This window comes from Homo sapiens, chromosome 9, assembly GCF_000001405.40.
Source record: "Homo sapiens chromosome 9, GRCh38.p14 Primary Assembly".
Lineage (NCBI taxonomy): Eukaryota > Metazoa > Chordata > Mammalia > Primates > Hominidae > Homo > Homo sapiens.
The window spans coordinates 88,899-113,947 of NC_000009.12; the positions used below are offsets into that span (position 1 = coordinate 88,899).

The window sequence follows — 25,049 nt, forward strand, 5'->3', positions numbered from 1 at the left end:
CTCCTGTCTGCACGGAAAGATTAGGATGACAGTGGCAGGACGCCTGTGCACCTAGTATGCATCACTTGAAGGGAACACACAGATTCCAGTAAACAGTTGGAAGGAAATGTTAATACCAGGCTCTGCTAAACAATATGAAATGACTCCTAGATGAGACAAGCGACTTTCATCAAAGTTTCCTGATACCTGAAAAGACAGCCCAGGGGATCCTGCACTACATCTGGTGTATGTAAATTAAGCGGGTTTTTTTCCCCTTTGTAATCAAGGCTCATACACAAACAAAATCACACTTTAGAAACGGCCTATTTCAACTTGTAACTAGCTTGCTTTCAGGGGCTCCAGGTCAAAAAGAAATAGAGCACAAAGACGCTTTCTCCTTAGGGATCATACACAAATTCACTCTGTCCGTTTCTTTCCCACATGGAGCAACAAAGCCATCAGACCTCTCCATCCACCCATTGGGTCCTTCCTGATTAAAGTGAGATAAATCACAGCCCTCTCTCTCCAGATGGCAGGCGACAAGAGGGGGATGCTTGCCTCAAGAAGTCCTCCCCATCCCTCTGCATTCATGCAAGCCCGAGCGGAGAGATGCAAGAAATTATGGATGCGTTTTAATTCCCCAGACCCTGCAATTAAAAATGGAAATTTTTTGGCCACGTGTATTGGCTCACGCCTGTAATCCCAGCACTTTCAGAGGCCGAGGTCGGCGGATCACCTGGGGTCAGGAGTTCGAGACCAGCCTGCCCAACATGGTGAAACCCTGTCTCTACTAAAAATACAAAAATTAGCTAGGAATGGTGGTGGGCGCCTGTAGTCCCAGCTACTCGGGAGGATGAGGCAGGAGAATCACTTGAACCCGGGAGGCAAAGTTTGCAGTGAGCCAAGATCACACCACTGCACTCCACTCTGGGTGACAAAGCAAGACTTCATCTCAAAAAATGTTTTTAAAAAATGGAAGTGTTGTTCTTTCATTTGTAAATGTGTTTTGGTAAAAGAGGGGCAGTTTAAGCACCCCTTTTTATTGTCTACATTGTTAAAATTCATCAGACATGGACTCTTGACTCCGTTTTGCCTGGGCAGACCCAATTCAAGCATTTACAACAGCTATAACCTCCTCAAATCAAAAAGAGGAATCAGCATTATTGCTAAGTTCAGATAAGGTCTTGTTTTATTTCATTTTTATTTTTGAATGCAGCCATTCCTCCAGGTGCTATCATCAGGTAAGATTGTCAGTCCTGATTAGGTAAAGGTATTATTACAAAATGCAATTCTTAAAAATTCAGTGTCTAACTACACTTTTAATAAGCCTTTCCCCCTCCCCTATGTATTCTCCCTTAGACACCCCTTCTCAAATTTAAAATCACAGAAACTAAAATATGATGCCTAAATAGAGCCTAGCGACTGCCCAGTCCTCTAATTTGATGAGTGGGAGTACTGAAGCCCAGAGGAAGTCAAGTAATTTGTTCCCAATGTCTTAGATAAGAAGAAAATGACCAGCTGGGAAATCCCACTCATGTCAAGGCAGAGGCACAGGGCCACAGACTGTGGTTGAATTGTGCCACACTCCTACATCCTTCTTTAGGAATCACAGAACATTCCTGTGTTGAGTCGGAGTCACTGACTTCCTTTTCAGGCTGATTGAGTTCTGTCCTTACGGGCTGCGACAAGAAGTTTTGGTATTATGCTACACCAAGACCATTTATCTAGTTCAAGAAATGAGCACAGTCCTTAGAGCCCAGCAACTTTCCCCATGTCCAGTAAATGTAGCTTCTCCATTAGAAGCTGTCAGAATGGAGCCTTCTGGCTCATCTTGATTTTGATTTGTGCAAGAATGAATGGTTGTGCTAAGACAGCTTTCCTAGCTGATAGTGAGCAAACCTTTTTTCTCATAATCTATAATAAAATATTAAATTAGAAGCACAGAGTTTATTTCTTGACTCTTATCTTCCTGCAATTTTCTTGTGGGCATAAATGATTTGTTTTTATCCTGCCTGCCCCAATCCCTTTTCCAAGAGACTAAAAGAGTATCTAGTGCAAAGTAGAGACTCAAATATTTTTTAATAAACAGTGATCCCAGCCGCCCAGTGCATGTTGCCAAATGCCAACCCCATAAGTGATCAAACACATCATCTCATTCAGCCAATCAAAATCAAGTGCTACCTATTTTTTAAGTTTTCATAGCCCTTGGGCATCTGCTTTCTCAGCATTTCCCAAACTTGAGTCATTCTCATCCTGCCTTCATAATTTTGCTCTGTCAATTACCTCTACTATTATTTATTTCATATATTTTTAAATAGCCCCACTTTTGAAACTTAAATACATGCCTTTTAAAAGGAAGCTTTCTTACTACTATACATCAAAAGCCATTATTACTTGTTCTAAGTACTCATAACAACATGTTCACAACTATTAAAATTTAGTAATGTGCATCCACATACTCTCTAAATTCATGGAGCATCTGCACACACTTTAAGAAACAATTCTGCATTACTCACTCAATTTTCTTGACATCCTTCTGAGGCAGGACAAACCTTGGGCCCAAAGAATTGAGGTAGGAGTCCAAGCAAGTTGCCAGCCACATAAAGGCAAACCTTGGCTCGGAAGTCAGGACTACTGCTCTCCAGAACCTCCTATCTCCAAGTGTAGTTAGCAGCCCAGATGCAGCAGCATCCTCTAGAGACTTGTTAAAAATGCAGAAGCTCAGGCTCCACCCCAGGCCTATGCAGACTGAATCTGCATTTTAACAAGGTCCAGGTAATTCACGTGCACATTAAGTTTGAAAAGGCCTGGTCTAGATCAGCAGTTCTCTAACTTAGCAGCACATTAGAACCATCTGTAGAGACTTTAAAAATACCAGTGCCTGGGATTCACCTCCCAGAGAATCTGATTTAAGTGTCTGGGGTTTGCCCTGAGTCTAGGTATTTTTTAGAACTCCTCAGCTTATACAAAGCTGGCAGGGCCGGGCACAGTGGCTCATGCTTATAATCCCAGCACTTCGTGAGGCCAAAGTGGGCAGATTGCTTGAGTCCAGGAGTTTGAGACCAGCCCGGGCTAAAACCCCATCCCTACAAAAAAAAATACAAAAAGTAGTTGGGCATGGTGGTGGCACATACCTGTAGTCCCGGCTACTCAGGAGGCTGAGTCCTCGCTTGAACCCAGGAGGTCACGGTCTGGTCAACAGAGCAAGACCCTGTATCAAAACAAACAAACAAACAAACAAACAAACAAAAAATGCTAGCAGCTTACCAGCTAGGGAGGCCTGTACAGCCAAGTTTTCCAAATGGGGCTACATTAGTTGTTCCAGAACTTTAGCTGCATCAAAACCACCTGGATGGCTTGTTCAGCTACAGAGGGTCTGGCCATGCCCCTAGAGTTTCCAGCTGAGGGTCTGGAATGAGGCCCGATGATTTGCATTTCTAACAATCTCCAGGCGATGCTAATGCTGTGGGTCCAGGGACCACATTTTGAGAATCTATGCTAAATGAACCGGACAAGATCAAAGCTCAAACTTATTCCAAGAACTTTTCAAGGCCCACCTGCAAGTTGTAGTGGAAGTAAGCATCTAAGGGTGCAAAAAAGTTTCACTATAGACTAAGGCCTTTTACCTGAGCTCTCAAATGTTCACATTTCTCTTGTCAACCTAAATAACAAACAGAGAGAGGCTCTCCACAAGAAAAAGATATTCGTTTGGAAACAGAGCCTTGCAATAGAAATAGGCAAGCCAGAGTAAACTATATGCATATTCACGGAGGTAAAGGAAGACAAAAGAAAAAATGAGGAAGATTATATGATCATTTGGAAATGATTATCCTTGGCTACAAAGATCAATAACAAAGGTGATGCCAGGCCCAGGCTGGACAGGCAGTTGTTGGGCAAATATCCTTCAGAAGCATTGTTGTGTGCAAAGTTGCAATGGGCTTTGTGCAAGATTGTGTTTTTTGCAGTCTTCTGTGATAATTTTTTGTTATCAGGCATACAAGCCCAAGAATCCTTTTTTGCATGGCCTTCCCTGGCTCTATTTGTCAGGGTTTTGGTTAGGGGAGAGGTATTTTTAACACTCTCAAGGTAAAAAATGCCATAAGGTAGGTACCCCAATTGCTTGTTTCGTCTTCATAAAATAACTTTTCCACCCGAACAAAGTCTACACATAAATTGTAAAAATACCCTGGCATGCAGTCCCTGGAAAAGTCTGGAGTCATTCTCGGGGTTCCCACCCAGGTGGGCGAGCGGAGCCACCACAGATAAGCACAAAGCAGGGGTGCCCGCTGGGGCGTGGCGGCAGGCAGTGGTCCTGGTTCGGATATTTGGCTGAAAACACAGCTCCTCTTTGTCACCCTCAGGAAGCCATCCCAAACCGCTCGAGGAGTCCTTGAAGCCAGTGTTACCACTAGGACAGCAAGTTTGCCTGAAAACTATTTGCCTTTGCAGCAGATTCATTAAGCCAGAACAAAGAGAAGACCAATGACTAAAAGATTTCTCTCCTTTTAAAAATCATGCTCTTTAACTCATAGCACATTTTCATTGTCCATCTGGGCAAAGCCACTGTCTCATTTTGCTTTTTCCCTCGTCTGTGATGCTCACGCTCATCCTCCCTATCCCATCAGCAACCTCTCTAGTATGTTTGATATGTGTCCTTAAACTTTATATCTTGGCCAGGGGCGCGGTGGCTGTAATCTCAGCACTTTGGGAGATGGAGGTGGGTCTATCACTTGAGCCCAGGAGTTTGAGATCAGCCTGGGCAACATAGTAAGATTTCATCTTTACTAAAAATAAAAAACAAAAAAATTTAGCCAGGTATGGTGGCCTGTGCCTGTAATCCTAGCTACTCGGGAGGCTGAGGTGGGAGGATCACTTGGGCCTGGGAGGTCAAGACTGCAGTAAGCTGAGATGGCGCCACTGCACTCCAGGCTGGACAACAGAGTGAGACCCTGTCACAAGAAAAAAAAGAAAAGAAAAAACAACTATCTCTGTAGAAATAGGCAAGGTTGTTTGATATGCAAATGTGGCTTTAAATTACATAATAACATTATATCAGTAAGCCCATTTTTTTCTTATAGTTGCACTCAACATCATGATTTTAAGACCTAGGCATGTTGCTTTATATTTGACCTCATGAGAACTCACCTTTACACATCTGTTTCTCACACTGAAATCAACATGCTTTTGAGTCAGTATTTAGGACTGAGTGAGGCTGTTCGCTGGAGTTAATCTGACACCAGATGCATTTATCCCTCTTTAGGACTGTAACGAATTCCTTTGCGCTCTGTTCGCCCATGCTCACTAGTTGGCATCACAGGTGTCATCTTTGAAAAAGAAAAACATCTCATCCCTTGGTTTCCTGACAACCACCCCCACCCCCTGCCTTGGCTCTTTTTCATGGAATTTGCACCAAACAGCACAGAGACAAACGTCTCTCTAACGTCTATGATTTATCCTTGCTTACACAAGATCACTCCAGCCTATAAAAAAGTATTTTTAAAAAATATGAAAAGTTACCCCAGTCTTGGATTACAGAGTTTCAGATAAAAATGAAAACATAGTAAAATTGCTTATCAGAGTTTCCTGTTCTTATTCGCCCTTACTCCTTTCGCAGATGTGAGTCATAAATCCACAACCAAATCCTCCCTCCTTCGAGGTCAACTCCTACTAACACCCATGAGGAGGGAATTTGACTCATATAATAACACTTAATTAAAATGTATAATGTCCACATGTACATGAGAGATAAAAAGAATGCTTCTTCGGGTATGTTTCCAGCCCAATCTTTCAAAATACGTGAAGTATTTCTTAATCTACTATACCCTATAAATGATAAATATAAGATACTAAGATTTAAAATACTTTCAATAACACTTTCCTAGGCCTCCAGATGAGCACTACATAAGTTTATAATAAAATATTTAAAATAGCTACCATGTATTATGTGTTTATAATGTGCCAGGCACTGGAGTAATGTGTTTTCACATTTTAATCCTCATAAGCCAAAGACATAGATTTTTTATCTTCGTTTTAAAGTTGAAAGACCTAAGGCTCAGAGATAAATTTTTTAAAAAATCTTTAATCCCTTTATACAAGATTAGCTCATTCTCACAAGCCAAAAATAAAACCCAAAACTCCCATATCTCCCCATATAAAAAAATACTCTTTAACTTCTTTCTCCCTCCAGAACCCCTCCTCCCTCTCCTTTCTATCTTCAGCCAACATCTGGAAGGTTCTGTCTACATTCACGCCTCTCTCTTCCCCTCCTTTCCTTGCAACCTGGTTGCCTCTCACAGCAGTGAAACAGAAAGCTGTTTCCTCAGCCCATAACCAACTGTAACTTTGAATCACTGTGCACCCTTGGCCGCGGCCGCCTCCTCCTTCAATTTAACTCCCTGCCTTGATCTGCCATCTCTGGCATGCTCTACTTACATTCACTCCTCCTCTTCATGTGTTTCTGGGCTGCTTTGCCAACACTTCTTCCTCTGCTGCCCTCATACATCCAGGCAGAGGAGAACAGCTTCTGCCTTGGCCTCCTGCCTTAGTTCTAACTGGTGTCCCCTGAGCATCTCAAGCCCCCAGACTGGAGCCTGTGTCCTGGGGTTAATTCCCTTCCCCACCTATGGAGGCTTAGCTCCTGCCCACCAGTGGGGTTATCACAAGTGCCTGCCTTTTCCTCACACTCTGCCTCTTACAGGGTTTCCGTCGGCTGGCCATTTGTGAGTTGTGTGACCCTGGACCTCAGTGTCCTCCCATAGAAAACAAGGAGCATGAACTAGATTTATCTCTAGTGTCCTTTCTAGGTGTTTCTTTCTTCCTTTATTTTTAAACAAGATCTCACTCTGTCACCCAGGCTGGAGTGCAATGGCACTAACATGGCTCACTGCAGCCTCAACCTCCTGCGCTCAAATGATTCTCCTGCCTCAGCCTCCCAAGTAGCTGGGACCACCACTCCCAGCTAATTTTTTTATTCTTTGTAGAGATGGGGTTGCAATGTTTCCCAGGCTAGTCTCGAACTCCTGGGCTCCTAAGAATTTTAACATTTGAGTTTTCTTCCGACAAAGAGGTGGAGGAAAATATAACTTTATATAAACATGTATAAACCCTGCTTCCCACTTTAATTAAGCCATAAATTCCTGCGGCAGCTAGGGATGTGAAGAGGCAAGTGAGAAGAGGAAATGTGCATAAGACTCTCAGCAGCTTGGAAGTAAACAGGGAGGACTGAAGTGACCCTGTTGCTCCGAAGGTGGCTGTTCATTAGCCTCCTTCTGTCCTTAGACCCAGCTGGAGCATTGCATGCACTGGCTCCCAGGTTGCAGGGGATGTCAGCAGCTCCAGCTCATCCGACTGAAGGAGGCCATGTGGCTTTCCCTGGACTTTCTGCTTGAACAGTGAATCCCTGTAGGGCCTGGATCCATTGCCCTCTTCTCCTCCCACCCCACCCAAGCACTCTTCTTCATGAGTTTGCTTTCTCCTATCTTTTTTTCCTCCACTTTTCCTTCACAAATTGTTGATTAAGCACCTGCTATGGGCCAGACATTTTTCTAGAGGAACACCTCAATGAGCAGACAGGTTCTTGTTCTCATAGATCTTCCATTTTAGAGAGAAAGCTGAATGATAAACAAATAATACAGCAGGTGGTGAGGGGTGCTATAAAGAAGGATGAGCAGGGTAAGTGGGTGAGAAAATGTGCTACTTTGTCCTCTAGAGGCCAGGGAAAGCCTCTCTGTTTAGGTGATATTTGACAGAGATTTGAAGACACTGAAGGAGTGAGCCATTTGGATCTCTAGGGAAAGAGCATTCTTCCCCAGACAGAGAACAGCAAGTGCAAAGGCCATGATGAAGAAGGGAGCTTGGCCAGAGTGAGGGACACAAACGGCAGCCTACGGTGCATGCACGTCTTAAGAGATGAGGTTCCTGGTGCCCTTTGACTGCCTCAGAGATCCCGTGCTCACAAGACACAGCCCCAATCATTCTAAAATACATCTATGCTATAGAAACTTGTCCCAAAATATCCTTTCACAATGATTTACCTTCTGGTATCCCACCCATGAAAGCAGAAATTTCCTGCTTTCTCCTAATAATTACTAATAATTCTCCTAATAATTACTAATCTGTCTCCTCCCCCAAAATGTAAGGCCAAGAAGAGCAGGGACTTGGCCTATTCATTCACTGCTCTATGTTCGGCTCCTAGTTCAGTGCTAAAAAACAAGTGGGCCCTCAATAAATATTTTTGTGAATTTATTTATTTATTTATTTTATTTTTTGAGACGGAATCTCTCTCTTCCGCCCAGGCTGGAGTGCAGTGGTGCGATCTTGGCTCGCTGCACCCTCCGTCTCCTGGGTTCAAGGGATTTCTGGCTAATTTTTGTATTTTTAGTAGAAACAGGGTTTCACCATGTTGGCCAGGCTGGTCTCGAACTCCTGACCTCAAATGATCCGTCCACCTTGGCCTCCCAAAATGCGGGGATTACAGGCGTGAGCCACCGCACTTGGCCAGCCCTCAATAAATATTTATTTTCTAGGTGAAATGGGGAATCTAACTATGCTACATGGTAATGAGGCAGCTGACTTTCTTGGAAGCAGAAGACCTAATTCTAGATGTGGTGACATAAAAGCAATAAAGGAAGGACCTCTATAAATCACTCGTGGAGCTGAGCCTCAGCTCTCAAAGTGTTGGATTAGAACTAGGGATGGCAAAATCCTGTTACAGGCACAACAACTCACCCCCTCCCTTCCATGCCCACTAGACTCTCTAATGAAGCGTGGCTGTCTCTCTCTGGAAAAAACTACGGAATTCTTCCCACCCAGTGCTCCTAGCAGCCACAACCAAAGGGTCAGAGGTGACCCTTACAATGAACCCAATTTGCCATCCCTCAATTAGATGTTTAAGATTCCTTTCCACTTTAACATCCTGTGGTGCAAATCTAAGCAAGCCTGCTTGTTTGGCCACATGGAGGTACATGTTCCTGCAAAATCAACCCCAAGAAATCCTATTGCTCACAGGTAAGCAGGTAACCCCTGCTTCCATAGCAGAGGCAGTCACTAGTAGTACTTGCTTCAATTGGGACAAATATTTTTCACCCGGAAACTAATTCAAGGCTACCTTTTTCAGACTCTTTCGAAGGCTGCTAGAATTGGTCCCTTGAGTAAGCTGAGTGTTGTGGTGCCCCTCAGTTCCCATGCCATAGAAGCTCGAACCTCATTCATTAATACACTAGCCCTAAGGCTTGAAACCGGTCTGGCCTGGCTTGGAGTCTTTAGATCACTCTCTAGCTTCTGGCCAATAAGAATGAGCTTCTAGGCCAGGCATGGCAGCTCACGCCTGTAATCCCAGCACTTTGGGAGGCCGAGGCAAGTGGATCACTTGCATCCAGGAGTTCAAGACCAGTCTAGGCAACATAGTGAAACCCCATCTCTACAAAAAAATACAAAAAATTAACTGGGCGTGGTGGCACGGGCCTGTAGTCTCAACTATTCAGGAGGCTGAAGTGGGAGGATCGCTTGTGTGGGGAGGTCAAGGCTGCAATAAGCTGTGATGACACCACTGTACTCCAGCCTGCATGACAGACTAAGGCTGGAGTGCAGTCTCCAAAAACAAAACAAAACAAAACCAAAAACCTGCAGCCTGCACCACTCCTACTGGTAGGCTTGCTCTGATAGCAGCACTTCAAGCAGGTGATAACAGTATGAGGTTTATTTTTAATTGCTAGGTGTGGTGGTTGTATTTCCTCAGAGTAAAAATGCACTTCCTTCCTCCCTTTGAAGTGAGATGTGGACCTGTGATTTGATCTGGCCAAGGAAGTGTGACCGAAAATGACCTGGACACTTCCAATGGGAGCTTTAAAAGCCAGTGCACAATTTATCACTGATCCTTTTTCTGCTTCAGTCATCGTAGAAGCCCAGGTCAGGATGGAACTCCCACCAGCCTGGATTGCTGATTAAGGATGCTCCATGTTAGAGCAAAAATATAAGTTGTTTTAAACCACAGAAATTTGGAGACATAACTAGTCTCTATTGACTGATACTCCATGGTGTAAGATTACTCATGGGATTTTTCTAGCTCAGAGTTTCTCAATTTTGGTAGGATTGACGTTTGGGGTTAGTTATTGCTTTCTTGTGGGGACCATCCTGTGCATTGCAGGATGTTAAGTGGCCTCCGTAGCCTTTACCCACTAGACACCAGCAGCACCCCATCCCAAGTTGTGACCATCAAAAATCCCTCAACAGTATGATTCCACTTATTTGAGGTACCTAGAGTAGTCAAAATCGTGGAGACAGAAAGTCAAATGATGGTTGTCAGGGGCTGGGAGAAGAGGGAAATGGCGAGTTAGTGTTTAATGTGTACAGAGTTACAGTTTTGCAAAATGAAAAGAGTTCTATGGATGGATGGTGGTGATGGTTGCACATCAGTGTGAAGGTGCTTAGTGCCACTGAACTATACACATGAAAATGGTTCAGATGGCTAATTTTATGTTATGTGCTTTGCCACAATTTTTGAAAATGGAAAAAAAAATGTCTCCAGACATTGCCAATGTCCCCTGGAAAGCAAAATCGCCCCTGGTTGAGAACTAGTGTTCTAGCGGTAGTGCGACACATTCAATTGTAAAATATGTGTAAAAACGTGGGCTTAGGGCTCAGCCCTGCTTTTTGCCATTGAGGGTTAGAATCTCATCTCTCCTGAAATATTTTTTATCCACTCAGATTTTAGGCCAGGATCAATAGGACAATTGAACGGTTTGATCTAGAAAAAGCCCCTGTCTATGGACCCAAAACTGGTGTGATATGAATACACTCTGTAAAAACTCTTACACTGTTTTAAGCTTTACATCTGATAAACAGAGCACAGTAGAGACTCCACTTGGGATAATTTTTCCTGAAACCTACTTGTTTTTCATGCTGTTTCTGCAGTTTAGGTGCCTGGTCTTAAAATGTGTTGAAGCAAAAGAATGGGAAGAGCCAAGGGACACATCAGGGAGTTTCCAAATGACAGAACTGCAAACCTGCAGGGCAGTCCTCTGCTGCGGAAGAGGGAGCTTACACTCTGAATGCATCTTGAGGAGTCTTCTCCATACCCGAGGAATAAATTCAGGCTAACAAGGGGGCCTAAATGGTGATTGGCTCTGCTCTTGACCAATTGAACTCCATGCTCGGACTGGGGCCTAAATGGTGATTGGCTCTGCTCTTGACCAATTGAATTCCATGCTCGGACTGGGGCCTAAATGGTGATTGGCTCTGCTCTTGACCAATTGAACTCCATGCTCGGACCGAGGCAGCAGAGGGCTTCTTACACCCACCTCCACCACCATCACCCTGCCTAAGTCATCTCAGAGAATCCTCTTTCTATCTCAGTATTGGGCCTACATTCTTATGCTTCAGCCCTTTTCCATAATGACCCCTCCAGATTGCCACACTCTAGAACCACTACAGAGGGTGGCGTTACTGCTGTATGGACACTTCATCTCAAAGTGAGGGGCCAGCTCACATGATTTGCAGGGTTCCTTTCTCTGGCCTTCTAAAACATTCTCCAGGTTGAGGCTGAAACTGCTCCCCCAAAGCCCCATAATAGGCATGAACAGATTATCCTCCTCTTCTTGGTTCTCATGGCTAGAATCCTTAACCAATCCTCTCCCCACAAAGTAGGGTTGATTTCACAAGCTGTTATTTCAGCTGCTCGTTCTGCCATCTGCTCTTGAGTTGCTTGGCGAACACCTCCAGCGTGCTTGGAGCTGCACTGTCACGCTTCGCCCCAATCAGCTTCTGGCCCCCCACACTCAAACACATCTGCATCGGCACACCCCTCCCACGCCCCAGTTCTGCCCACAGTGGATCCATCCATCTGCGCTCCAGGCCCCAGCCCCTTGGGAGCTTGCGCTATCAATTACTTGCACTTAGTTCAGAATCTTTAGCCACTCCATGTCCATGGTTATTTCATTTATTCAATGTAGTAACATGTTTAAACCTCTCCCGTCCTGGAAAAAAAAAAAGTCCTACATTTAACCCTATCTCCCTCTTTAGCTTAAAGTCATCTGTAATCTTCCTTGCCATTTATTTACTCCATGTCCCAGGTTGAACAGTATCCACACACCCCCAAAAATTCCTGTTCTCCCTAGGAATCTTAGAATGTGACTTTATTTGGAAATAGGGTTGTTGCAGATGTAATTGGTTAGGAGTGGACCCTTAATCCACTATGACTGGTGTCGGTGTCCTTAGAAGAAGAATAGAGGGAACGCAGAGGCACACACAGAGAGGAGGCCATGTGATGATGGGGGCGGAAACTGGGGTGGTGTATCTACAAGCCAAGGAATGTCAGGGCTTGCAGGAAACCCCAGAAGCGAATGGAAAGGCATGGAGCAGATTCTTCCTAGCATCTTCAGAGAGAGCATGGTGCTGCCAACACCTCGTTTTGAACTTCTAGCTTCCAAAACTGTGAGAGAAAAAATTTCTGTTGTTTTAACAAGACACTCAGTTTCTGGTATTTTGTGACAGCAGACCTAGAAACTGAATATACCCTTTAAACCACCACCGTTTTCCTTTTGGTTCCAAGATTCTTTCGTGTATGACCTGCGAGAGCCAAATCCAGTCTTTATTTGGCCTCTCTGGAGCACGTGCAACTCATTTATTCCTTATTGATGCTTCTCCCCCACATCCTTCTCGGCCTCCTTCATTGCTTCCTAATCTCACAGCCAGCTACCGCATACTGGAGTCCCTGGGTTCATCACCACCTTTTCCCACTCTGTTCATGCTCCACTGCAATCTCATCCAAATACCAGCTCTCCTCCCACCCCCATGCTGATGATTCCCCAAGCCCTCTGGCCTAAGCCTCTCTCCTGAGATCTACTTTGAGTTCCCCACTGCCTCCTGGACATTTCCACCTAGAACTTGTACAAGCACTTCAAAAACTACATGGCTAAAATGGAAGTCATGGTCTAGAAGCCTCCTTCCCAAATAAACCTGCTTTTTCTCCTGTAACCTGCATGTCAATGAGAGGCTTCACGTTCACACAGGGGCATAAGCCAGACACCTGGCATCTTCTTGGGCTTCTCCTCTGCACCCTTGGCCGTGGTCACTGAAGCCAAAGGACTCTGCCTATAAGGGTTTGGGGAATGTATCCTCTGCATCCCTGCTGCAGCTGCTTCAGCTCAGCCTCTTACCACCTCTTGTGGCTAGCGGAGACCTCCACTACACCAGACTTTCATGCTGCTCTGGGAGCACTTTCTTATACCACCTTGTTTTAAGCCATTCCCCTGCTTCGAATGCTTCAGGGTTTCCTGGTCACCTGCAGGATGATGCCCTTAGCATTCCTCCACTTGGAATAACAACGCCTTGTAGCATCTGGCTTTCAGGAGTTTAGAGTGGAGGGGCTCTGCATTCAACTCCAGGACCTACCACATACTTGGTGCGTGGCCCTGGGCAACATACTTACTCTCTCTGTGCCTCAGATTCCTCACCTGAAAATGGGGATAATCATAGTACCTACCTCATAGAGTTGTTGTAAAGATTAAATGAGCGAATATGTTCAGAGTACCCGGAACTGTGTCCAGCATGTCGTAAATGGGCACTAAATATTAACTGCTGTTGCTGTTAAGTATTACCTTTCCCCACTCATTTCTGTACAGCTTCCCATGTGCGTTGTTTTCCAGCCGATCAGAACACTCTTCCATCTTAGAAGAAAAAAAAAAAGCCCTACCTGTGTTCCCCTGGCTCTTGGCCTTGACACACACTGTCTGGAATACCTTTCCCACCACCTCTCATCCCATGCTCCCTGTGAACATACTTCGACTCATCTTTTCTGACCTAAGTACCCTCCCCTGCAGTCAAGCACGCTCTTCACTGAGCCTTCGTAAGGCGCTTGTGCTCACCTCTATTGCAGCACAGATCACACTGCATTATAAAGGACCATCTCCTGTCTCTCCGTCCATCTTTCAGAGTTTGCTGTATTGATCTTAGTGATGTCAGCACGTGGCACTCAGCTAGACAAAGAAAGCAGGCTCAATAAAGGCTGGTAGAATTAAGAATTGTATAAAGGCATTAAATAGAGATGGGGTACAAATATGTCCCAGGCTGCCTGGGATAGTCCTGGTTTAGGCCATGGTCCTGATATAATTACTAACAACACCCTCTTTCACTGTCAAAAATATCTCCTTTGGACAATACATTATAAGGTCACTCTAGGTATTAGAGCTGTGATTCTCACCCTATCAGGCCCAATTTTCTCTTTGCTTAACAGCTATTTTAGAATACCCTATGCACTATCTTTAAATGGGATTGATAGGCAATAGAAACTGCCAATAACAGAATTTCAAAAAAAACAATGTAATACCCTAAATAGAATGCTTAATGGAAAATGAAGCAGATTTTTTTAAAAGTAGCTTAAACTAAAATTATGTGTGCAGTATTTTGATGTGTAAATGCTTAGGTCTTACACTTCTGGCCAAGATGGAGTAACAGAGACCAAAATTACTTTCTGACCTAAAACAACAAAAATACTGGACAAAATATATGAAACTATGGCCCTCAAGCAACAAAGGGAATCAATCACTGGAATCAAGCATCAAAGGGCAGTGATCCTCAAGAGATGAGAAACAAATGAGGCTAGCCCCACAATTGACCTCCCAAACACCTTAGAAAACTTTCCAAGCCACAGCACAGGAAGAAAGAATGCAGATGGAGCTCAGAGATCTTCCTGAGTTGAGAAGACAGAACTGTGAGTCTGGGAAGGCCAATGTGGCTAGAATTCATAGGGCAGAATATTGAGGAGGAGAGGGCTGTACAGAGACAGAGCTCTGGAAATCTGAAGATAATACTTACCCTCCTTGACTGTTTAACAGCGTAGTGATCAGAGTATGCAGGTATGAAAATCGCCTGAGAGGCTGGACCCGGTGGCTCGCACCTGCAATCCCAGCACTTTGGGAGGCTGAGGTGGGTGGATCACAAGGTCAGGAGATAGAGACCATCCTGGCAAACATGGTGAAACCCCATCTCTACTAAAAATACAAAACTTAGCTGGGTGTGGTGACACACGCCTCTAGAGTCCCAGCTACTCAGGAGGCTGAGGCAGGAGAATCTCTTGAACCTGGGAGGCAGTGGTTGCAGTCACCCGAGATCCAGCAAAGCATGGGCAACAGAGCAAGACTCAGTCTCCAAAAAAAAAAAGAAAGAAAAAAGAAAACTGCCTGAGAATGGAAAAAGAATCATCCACAAAGAGAGCCAGCCCCTCTTCCCCCCTGGCTCTTAGGACCCCCATCGCAAGGGGGTGAGACACCCCCCTTGATGCGGGGAGTGCGTGCCAGCCCCTCTTCCCTCCCTGGTTTTTAGGATCCGCGGTGGACTCACAGCCTGTTTACGGTATTCGGAGTGATATCATCTCCCCCTCTGGAAATTATAAACTATTTCACAGATGGGGGTACACCCTCGGTGTGCAGAGGGTGTACAGCCGTCTGTTTTGGGAGTAATATCATCGTCTTCCTCCCTGAATATTAACAACAGCATCACAGCTGTGTTTCTACTGCAGGTGTGATTGGGCGTCACCTCCTCCTCTCCCACGTGGAAATTAGAACCGATATCAGTGGGGGCGTGCACACCTTCTGTGATATTTAAAGTGACATCATCCTCTTCCCTCCAGGATCATGAGAACAATATCCCTGGGGGGGTACACTTTCTGCGATATTGGGAGTAATATCGACCTCTCGGCCTCTGAATATTAGGAACAATATCACAGGGTGGGTGTACACCTCCTGCTCTGTTATGGGGAGTAATATCTATCTATTACGGGGAGTAATATCATCCTCTCCCTTTCAGGATGTTAATAACAATATCACAGGGTGGGTGATCACAGCCTGCGATACTGGGATTATTATCATCCTCTCCCCCTCGGGATACCAGGAACAATATCACAGAAGAGGTGTACACTCCCTGCGATTTTGGAAGTAATATCCTACGCTTCTTCCATGAATATTAGGAGCAATATCACCGGGTGGCTGTACATTCATTGCTATGTTGGGAGTCATGTCATACTCTACTCCCTGGCTATTAGGATCAGTGTCACAGGGTGAGTGTACACCTACTGAGATATTAAAACTAATATCATGCTCTCCATCCCTGGATATTAGGAACAATATCACAGGTAGGTGTACACCCCCTGCGGTATTAGGAGAAATAATACGATTAATTATTAAGCATCAATCTTAATAATATTATTAATTGTTAAACTTCAGTCTTAATAATTATCAATGGTAATATTAATTAATAGTATAACGTTATTAATCATTAATGATTATTTTAAATGTACGATTATGCATGATTAAAATTATCTGTATTAATGTCATTTTTCAATAATATTAGTTATTAATCTTAATATTAATTATTGTTTTATTACCAACATCACTTATGACTGATTTATGTAACATTGATTAATAATATCATTATTTTATTATTAATAGTGATATTGTTATTATTAATAGTAATTGTTAATATTTTTAATCCGTATTAACTTTTACTATCTCTATTGCAATTATTAATATCGATGATTACTATTAATTATTAATATATTTATTACTATTAATAATTAATATAACTGTTCCCGATATCTGTGGGGGAGAGGATATTACTCCCGATGTCGCTGAAAGTGTACACCCCTCTATGATGTTTCTCCTAATTGCCAGGGCGTAGAGGATGACATGATTGAAGATATCGCTGCGGGTGTACCTCCGTTCAGTCATCTTGTTCCTAATGTCCTGGGTGGGAGCGGATGATATGACTCCCAATGTCGCAGGGGGCGTAGACCTCCCCCGTGATACTGTCCCTAACGTCCAAAGGTGGAGAGGATGATATTTCTTCCAGTTTCGCAGGGGATGTACACCACCCCTGAGATATGGATCCTAATATCCAGGGGGCGAGAGGATGATGTTAGTCTCACTATTGCAGGAGGTGTACACTCCCTAGGGATATTGTTCCTAATATCCAGGGACGGAGAGGAAGATCTCACTCCCAATACAGCAGGGGGTGGACACCCTTCTGTGACACTGTCCCTAATAGCCAGCGGGGGAGGGGAAGATATTACCCCCAATATCGCAGGGGGTGTACACCCACCCCGGGATATTGTTCCTTATATCGAGAGGGGGATAGGGTGATATTGTTCCCAATATCGCAGGGGCTGTACACCCCTCCTGTGATATTGTTCTTAATATCCTAGGAAAGAGAGGATGATACTACACGCAATATCTCAGGGGGTGAACACCCACCTCCTTCAGATATTGTTCTTAATGTACTCCACCTCCCCCGACCAGGGATGTTGTTCCTCATATCCAGGGGAAGAGAGGCTAACATTACGCCCAATATCGCAGGGGGTGTACACACCCTCTGTGATGTTGTTCCTAGTATCCAAAGGTAGAGACGATGATATTACTGGCCATATCGCAGGGGGTGTACACCCCTCTTGTGATACTGTTCTTAATATTTAGAGAGGGAGACAATGATAGTACTGTCCATATTACTGGGGTCACAGCAGCCCCGTGACGTTGTTTTTAATATTCAGTTTGGGAGAGGATGATAATAATTTCAATATAACAGGGGACACCCCCGCCCCGTGATGTTGTCCCTAATGTCCAAGGGAAGAGAAATGATATGACTCACAATATGTCAAGGGGTGTACATCCCCTGTATAATATTCTTCCTAATATCCAGGGGGGATTAGAATGATATTACTCCCAGTATCACAGGGGGTGTACGCGACCCCTTTTATATTGTTTCTAATATCTAGGGAGGGAGAGGATGATATTACTCCCAATATTGTAGGGGTGTACACCCCTCCCGTGACATTGTTTTTAATATTTAGGTAGGGAGTGGATGATGTTACTCTCAATATCTCAGAGGGTTTACACTCTTCCTGGGATACGGTTTCCAATATTAAGTGGGAGAGAGGATGATATTATTCCCAGTATCGCAGGGGGTGTACATGTCCTGTTATTTTGTTCCTAATATCCAGGTTGGGAGAGGATGATATTACTGCCTATATCGTAGGAGTTGTACACCCCATCAGTGATATTATTCCTCATATTCAGGGGAAAAGAGAATGACATCACTCCCAATAGCGCAGGAGGTGTACACACCCCTTTGATATTGTTCCTAATACGCAGTGGAGGAGACGATGATATTACTGGCCATATCGCGAGGGGTGTACACCTCCTCTGTGATATTGTTTTTAATATCCAGGGGTTAGAGGATGACATTACTCCCATGATCGTAGTGGGTGTACACCAATTCTGTTTTATTGTTCTTAATATCCAGGGAGGGAGAGGATGATATTACTGTCACTATCGCAAGGGGTAGACACTCCTTCTTTGATATGGTTCCTAATATCCAGGGGGAAGAGTATGATATTAATCCCAAAATCGCTGTGGGCATACACCCCTTTTTGATATGGTTCCTAATACACCGGGGGAGAGTCTATGATATTACTGCCCATATCACAGGGTGTGTACACCAGAACTGCTATATTGTTTCTTATTTCCAGCAATGAAGAAGTTGCTATTACTCCCAAAATGGAATGGGCTGTAAACCCCCCATAAGATATTGTTCCTAATATCCAGGGGGAAAAGGATGATATTACTTTCAATGTTGCGGCAGGTGTATAATCTGCCTGTTATATTGTTCCTAACATCTGGGGTGGGGGCGGCGGGGTGAGAACGATATTACTCGCAATGTCTCAGAGGGTGTACACTGCCCCTGTGATATTGTTCTAAATATCCACTGGGGTAGAAAATCATATTACTCCCAATATCGCAGGTGGTGTAAACGCCCCCCGATATTTTTTCTAATATCCAGGTGAGGTAGGATGATATTACTCCCAATATCACAAGCGGTGTACACACCTTCTTTGATATTTTTCCTACTATTTACTTGTGGAGAGGATGATATTACTCCCAGTATCAAAAGAAGTGTACAAGCCCCCTGTGATATTGTTCCTAATATCCAGGTTAAAAGAGGATGATATTACCCCCAATATCGCAGGGGGTTGGCTGTACACTCCGCCTGTGATATTATTTCTAATATCCAGGGGAAGAGAGAATAATATTACTCCCAATATCGCAGGGGCTGTACGCACCTTGTGATATCGTTCCTAATATCAATGAGGGGAGGAGATGATATTACCCCAAATATCAGAAGAGGTGTACACCTTTCCTGTGATATTGTTCCTAATCTCCCTTTTGGGAGAGGATGATATTACTCACAATATCGCAGGGGTTATACACTTCCCCTGTGATATTGTTCCTAATATCCAAGTTGGGAGAGGATGATCTTACTCCCAATATCGCTGGGGGTATACACCCCTTCTGTGATATTGTTCCTAACATCCACAGGGGAAGAGATTAATATTACTCCCAATATCCCAGGGGGTGCACGTCCCCACTGTTATATTGTCCCTAATATCAAGCGGTGGAGAAAATGATATTACTCCCAATAGCGCCGTGTGTATACACCGCTCCTGTGATATTGTCCCTAGTATCCAGGGGCTAAAGATAGATATTACTCCCAATATCCAGGGGATAGAGGTTGATATTAAACCGAATATCACAGTGGGTGTACACAACTCCTGTCATATTGTTCCAAATATCCAGGCAGAGAGAGGATAATATTACTCAAAGCATTCCTGGGGGTGTACACAGCCCTCTGTGATATTGTTTCTAATATACAGAAAGGGAGAGGATGATATTACTCTCAATAAACAGAAGGGTACAATTCCCATGTGATGTTGTTCTGAATATCCAGGGTGAGAGAGGATGATATTACTCCCAACATTGCAAAAGTTGTAAACACCTTCTGTGATATTGTTCCTAATATCCGGGGGAAAGAGGATGATGTCACTCCCAGGATCGCAGGGGGGGTGTTCACCCCCCTGTGATATTGTTTCTAACATCCAGAGGGGGAGAAGTTGATGTTACTTCAAACATCGCCGGGGGTGTACGCCCCACCTGTGATATTGTACTTAATATTTAGCGGGAGAGAGGGAGGTGATATTACCAATAACGTAGGGGAAAGTCAACCCCCTCTCCCCCGCTGGATATTACGAGCCATGTGACAGGGAGGTGTCCACCCCCCACCATACGGAGAGTAACATCACCCTGCTCTCCCCCCACCTCCAGCTTCTTTCTGCTAAGGTCGCCTTGCCCCTCCAGGTGGCTTTCTTGGGCAGGGCATAAAAGAAATTACGTGGTTTTCTTGCTCAGATTTGTTCGCAAGTCCACGAGAAATACTCAGGGAGTCTTGCAAAAATCCGGTGTTACAGCAGCTAAGTCAGCCAGCTAGCCGTGCCCTACAGTTGAGATGGCATGTCATGATTCCCTCTCTTTCACCTGCTGACTCCTCCTCAGCCTTCCGGACTCTGCTTAGCTGCCTCTTCCTCCAGGTTGTCCGCTCCCGTCCCCACCCTTCCTTACCTGCTCTCCTAATACCATGGGCTGATCCAGCGCAGCATTTGTCACACATCTTACAGCTGCCTCTGCCTCCAGTCTGTATCCGGACTCCACGACCTGAAGGTAAGGGCTGCATCTGCCTTGATCATCATTGTATACCTTGCTCCTACAACAGCGCCTAACACAGAGTAATTCCTCAGTCAACATTTTCTGGATGGGTGAACAAAAAATAAATCTACACATCAAGTGAAAATTAGGCTGAGCAGAAATGAAGCAAGTGATAAAGTACAAGAGAAGGTTATACCTGTTATTCTAGGCGTGCTAATTCTAATTTTAGAATTGCTGTGGTTATTTCATGTTACTCTGCCAGGCTTCAGTGTTAGGCAAGGGCAATTCTCTGTGTAAGCAGGGGATAGCTTTCCTGAAAGGTCCTGTTGGTCCTGGGAAGTGATGGTACATGTGACTCATCCCTCAAACCAGAAGGCTAAGCTAAACTAGCAGGAGAGCTGCAGCGGGAACCTTCTGGCACGAAAGAAACAGCATGCTCTGTGTACCACCCGTGTGTGACCGGAAATAAAGGATGCCCACCATGTGAAGACTGACCAGGACGCAGAGAGAAGGACGTCAGGCAAGATCCCACCCGTGCTTAGGGACATAACATGTTTATTAGCATCATTAAGTACTAGCTGACATGCATAGAGCATTGAGTATGTGCCAGGCACTGTGCTAAGCACTTCACATACACTATTTCATGGAATCCCCACCGTGGCCCTATAAGGTGAAACTTATAAATATCACCATTATATAGATGGGGAAATTGAGGCTTGGAGAGGTTAAGTTGTTTGCCTGAGGTCACAAAGCTGGTAAGCAGCAGAGCTGGAATCCAAACCAACAGAAATTCCATCTAGATACCCGACTCCTCACTGCCGTCTATCCTTGGAAACTAGACTAGTCTCCAAGGAAACATGAATCTACATTTTCTTTCAACTAATAAGAGCTCTTTCCTTACAGTAATTATTTAAATAGTTTTAATAAAAATTTAAAACCTATTTCAAGATTAAAGTTTCAAAGCCATCAAACATCAAATATATATGAAAATACATTTGTATACATTATAAACAGATATATGACGTGACATGAAGTGCTGGATCCAGTGCATCAGAAAATACACGCAAATATAAAATACCCGACAGCATTATATAAAACATCAGCTGCTTGCCAAATCGGCATTAAATACTTAAGCACTGTGACCTGTTGCTTAAAGTATTACAAATCCAGCCTTATCTAAAAATCTCTATTTGTCCTAGGAAACTAATACTTTTTAAAAACAATAATTTGGTAATTTTAATAATATTTAGAACTATCTAAACTTAAAGCCTATATATTTACCACCATTTTACATGCTTACCAGTATTACAGACACAATAAATTTTATCAGGTATTTTTGATAATGTGCTAGGAATTGTTTGAAATATAAAGAAGAATAAGATTTCGTTTTCACCATCTCAGAGATTCCAGATAGTGGTGGACACAGAGACCCGTGAAAATAACTGCAGGATGAAATAGACGAAATTGTAGAAGCCCATGTACCTTGGAAAAATGGACATAGACATGGAAATTTTATTTCATATGCATACTCGTTAAAGAAAGAAGAAGCCTACAAAAGTTAGCTACCTTTGGTTTTTATTACTTATGTCTTACACTCAAGTGAACTTTTTTCTGTCTAATCTAATATCATTCAAATCCTGAGTCCTTTTAATTAAGTTATCCTAAAATGAATTTTCATGAACACAGAATTTGTGCTATTACTCTCTCTGCACCTCATGGATATTACCACATTTTAGATTTTATGTTTTAAAACATAAAACAATATAAAACCTAAAGTTTTAACATAAAATGTCTTTGGATCTTCAACTAAAATACTAAAGATATAAAAAACTTTATTCTCCTCAAGACAAAACTAGATTTAAAATTGTCAATGAAATAGTTGATTGATCATTTATATTTCTATAAATATATGGAAAATAATCTATTTTTTAATTGTAAGACATTACAATTTTAGATTGTATTTGCATTTAGGAAAATTTCACATAATCTTTACCAGATCCATGCTTACTCTGATAAAAATTTGTTTTTTCAATAGTTGATTCTTCAAAATATCTTGACTAATCCTTCTCCCTCTACAAACAATATTATTATTTGCCAATATTCAAAAGTCTGAATAAACGACCTTATCCCTGGGAATATCTTGCCAAAAAACTATTACCTGCAGCTACAAAGTCCAGAATGTCAACTTCTTCAGAACAAACCGTTCAGTTTCTCCCATAAAAAATGCAAGGGAAACAAAAAAAGAGGATTGAGGAAATCTAAAAGAGATATAATAGCCCATATCAACCAAACACAATACGTAACCCTTATTAGCATTCTAATTCAAACCGACCAACTAAACAAAAAGTTTTTAGACAATTGAAGATATTTAAATATTGCCTGGATAAACCGATGCTATTAATGGATTATTTAGGTGTGATAATGGTATTGTGGTTACGTTGATGGGAATCTTCTTTTTTATAAATGGGGTCTTGCTATGTTGCTCAGGGTGGTCTTGAACTCCTGGCCTAAAGTGATCCTCCAACCTCTGCCTCCCAAAGAGCTGGGATTACAGGGAGGAGCCACTGCACCCAGTCTCATTGATGGAATTATTATCTTTTAGAGAAATATTCAAAAATACAATACAATGATAGACTATCTGGGATTTGATTCAAAATAATTCAGTGGGGAGAGGACTGTCAGCAGATAAAGAAGACACAAGGTTGGCCCAGAGGAGAAGTACACACAGGTTAATTATACTAATCTCTTTATAAACATTGTTTGAAATATGACATAATGTATCCTATACAACTGATACCTTGAGTAACACAATAATAGTCCCCTTAATTTTAGGAACTACTGGTCATAAATATGCCCTTACATATAGACATCTCCTCTATACATAGCAAAATCACATTATTTGACAAAAAGGAAATCTCTTAGGTTACGTTTAATCTTATTGTTCTCTTTGCCTGGATTTGGGAATAGAAACTGCTTCACTGGCTAAGTAAATCATAACTGTCCCAAAATATTCTTAATTACTGATTTCAATAAACATATCCCTTCGTTCTAAGAACAATTAAGAAAATGAAGTTTATGTTCAGGTAAACCTGACAATGTTAAGGTAGTTGAGTAACAGGGAAGGAATGATTAACTGAATTTCCTACTGGATTCTCAAATCCTTTTTCTTTTTCTACTCTAATGTTTCCTTTGGATGGGGCGAATTCTAGTATTGTTAGCGATCACCTATGTAACTTTTTTGCAGGTGGTGTAAATGGAATCAATGAATGCTTAAAACCAATTAAAAATAATTTCAGTGATTACATGAAAACACAGCTAGAAAAACTAAAGTATTTTTGTAGAGATTACGAGAGGGTTACATTAACAATCAGAATAAGGTTACTATTTAGACTGTAATCAGGTGTCAATGTGGAAGGAAATTTCCGAGCATTTTTCCGGAAGGCTGGGGAGGAGTGGGAATCCCGACTCCCCACACTTCCCACACAACGTGGTGAAGGACAGGTGCCAACTCAGAAGCCGCCGTTTGCTCAATGTCCCCGCCAGCCTTGTCGGTCCTTACCGCCGTTTGACTCCACTGTTTTTCTCGTGGTTTCTGCTGCTTCTCTAAATTGTCCAACGACCGTTATTCAGTAAAAATGAATGAAACGGGGCCGTGTGATCTAGGCAGCCTGGAGATGAGATTTTGGAATCATAAGCTACATTCCAACGTATAAACCGATTTTACTCGTTTTGGATACTCGATGTACGCGGAATGGGCGCTGTAAAATGCGGCTGCCCCGCCGGAGGCATCTGCTTGGGACTTGCTGGCAGCCGCCGGTCCCCTCTGCTTGCGACCCTCGGCCCAGCCGCCGGGACCCTGGTGCACCTGTTCCTGGGCGTCCTCTCTACTCCCCAGTGGCCGCCAGCTCCACTCCCAGCCTGTGGCCCCGGACCCGCCGGCCTGAGCGTTCGCAGAGGGCCGGTCGTCGCCACAGCCCCGCGTCCCGGCCCCCGCGCCCCTTGGACCTTCGCCCCAGGCCGGCGCAGCCCAGCTTCCCGGGCAGGCTCCACGCTACCGGGGTCCAGTGCGCGGCGACGAAGCGGAGAGCTGTGTCCAGACTCCGGAGAGAAACTCCGGCTCCGCGGGGCGGCGCGGGGCGGCGCGGGGCCCGGAGCTGCCCAACTCCGCCGCCTCGGGAAGGCGGCTTCGGGCCCGCAGGGAGCCCCGGGGAGGGTTCCCGGTTCCGCCGGCAGCGGCGTCGAGGGGTGCCTGGGCTCCTGGGGACCGCGAGAGGAAAAAGAACGGAAATCGCACCGGGGAGGAAGGACGCGCAGAACGCCCCCGTGAAGCGGGGTGCTCCGGTCAGGCGTGCGCGGGAGCGCGGTCCGGGGGAGTCCGGCGGCGCCGTCGCGCGCACTCGGCAGAGGCTTCGCGGGAGAACGCGCAGCCCGGGGCGTGGGGCGGGGAACTGCCCGCGCGAGGCTTTCGGCGCGTCTGGGTCTCGGCGAGAGCAAAGCGCGTCCTGGCACCGGGGGCGGCGGCGCAGAGGCCGGGAGGAAGAAATCCGG

General features: G+C 44.1%; 1 long non-coding RNA gene across 2 annotated transcripts, besides 3 other annotated features; it reads right to left on the reverse strand.

Moving 5' to 3' along the window:
• Positions 6,131-6,425: a silencer, noted in NCBI's record as "tiled region #4499; HepG2 Repressive non-DNase unmatched - State 24:Quies". NCBI's record gives its function as "represses a minimal TATA promoter and a strong SV40 promoter by Sharpr-MPRA in HepG2 cells {active_cell/tissue: HepG2}" and the evidence as "EXISTENCE:reporter gene assay evidence [ECO:0000049][PMID:27701403]".
• Positions 9,618-9,818: a silencer, noted in NCBI's record as "peak7198 fragment used in MPRA reporter construct". NCBI's record gives its function as "represses an SCP1 promoter by STARR-seq MPRAs in K562 erythroleukemia cells {active_cell/tissue: K562}" and the evidence as "EXISTENCE:reporter gene assay evidence [ECO:0000049][PMID:32103011]".
• Positions 12,101-24,897, reverse strand: LINC01388 (long intergenic non-protein coding RNA 1388). Of its 2 annotated transcripts, NR_187612.1 has the most exons (8): positions 24,796-24,897; positions 24,061-24,169; positions 22,660-22,759; positions 21,895-21,983; positions 20,418-20,571; positions 14,791-14,896; positions 13,842-13,952; positions 12,101-12,406 (listed from the first exon to the last, which is right to left on the reverse strand). It is a non-coding gene; the product is annotated as a long intergenic non-protein coding RNA 1388 (long non-coding RNA). The 2 variants fall into 2 exon arrangements; NR_187611.1 differs by lacking the exon at positions 14,791-14,896.
• Positions 24,835-24,924: a silencer, noted in NCBI's record as "silent region_19719". NCBI's record gives its function as "represses an Ori minimal core promoter by ATAC-STARR-seq in GM12878 lymphoblastoid cells {active_cell/tissue: GM12878}" and the evidence as "EXISTENCE:reporter gene assay evidence [ECO:0000049][PMID:35858748]".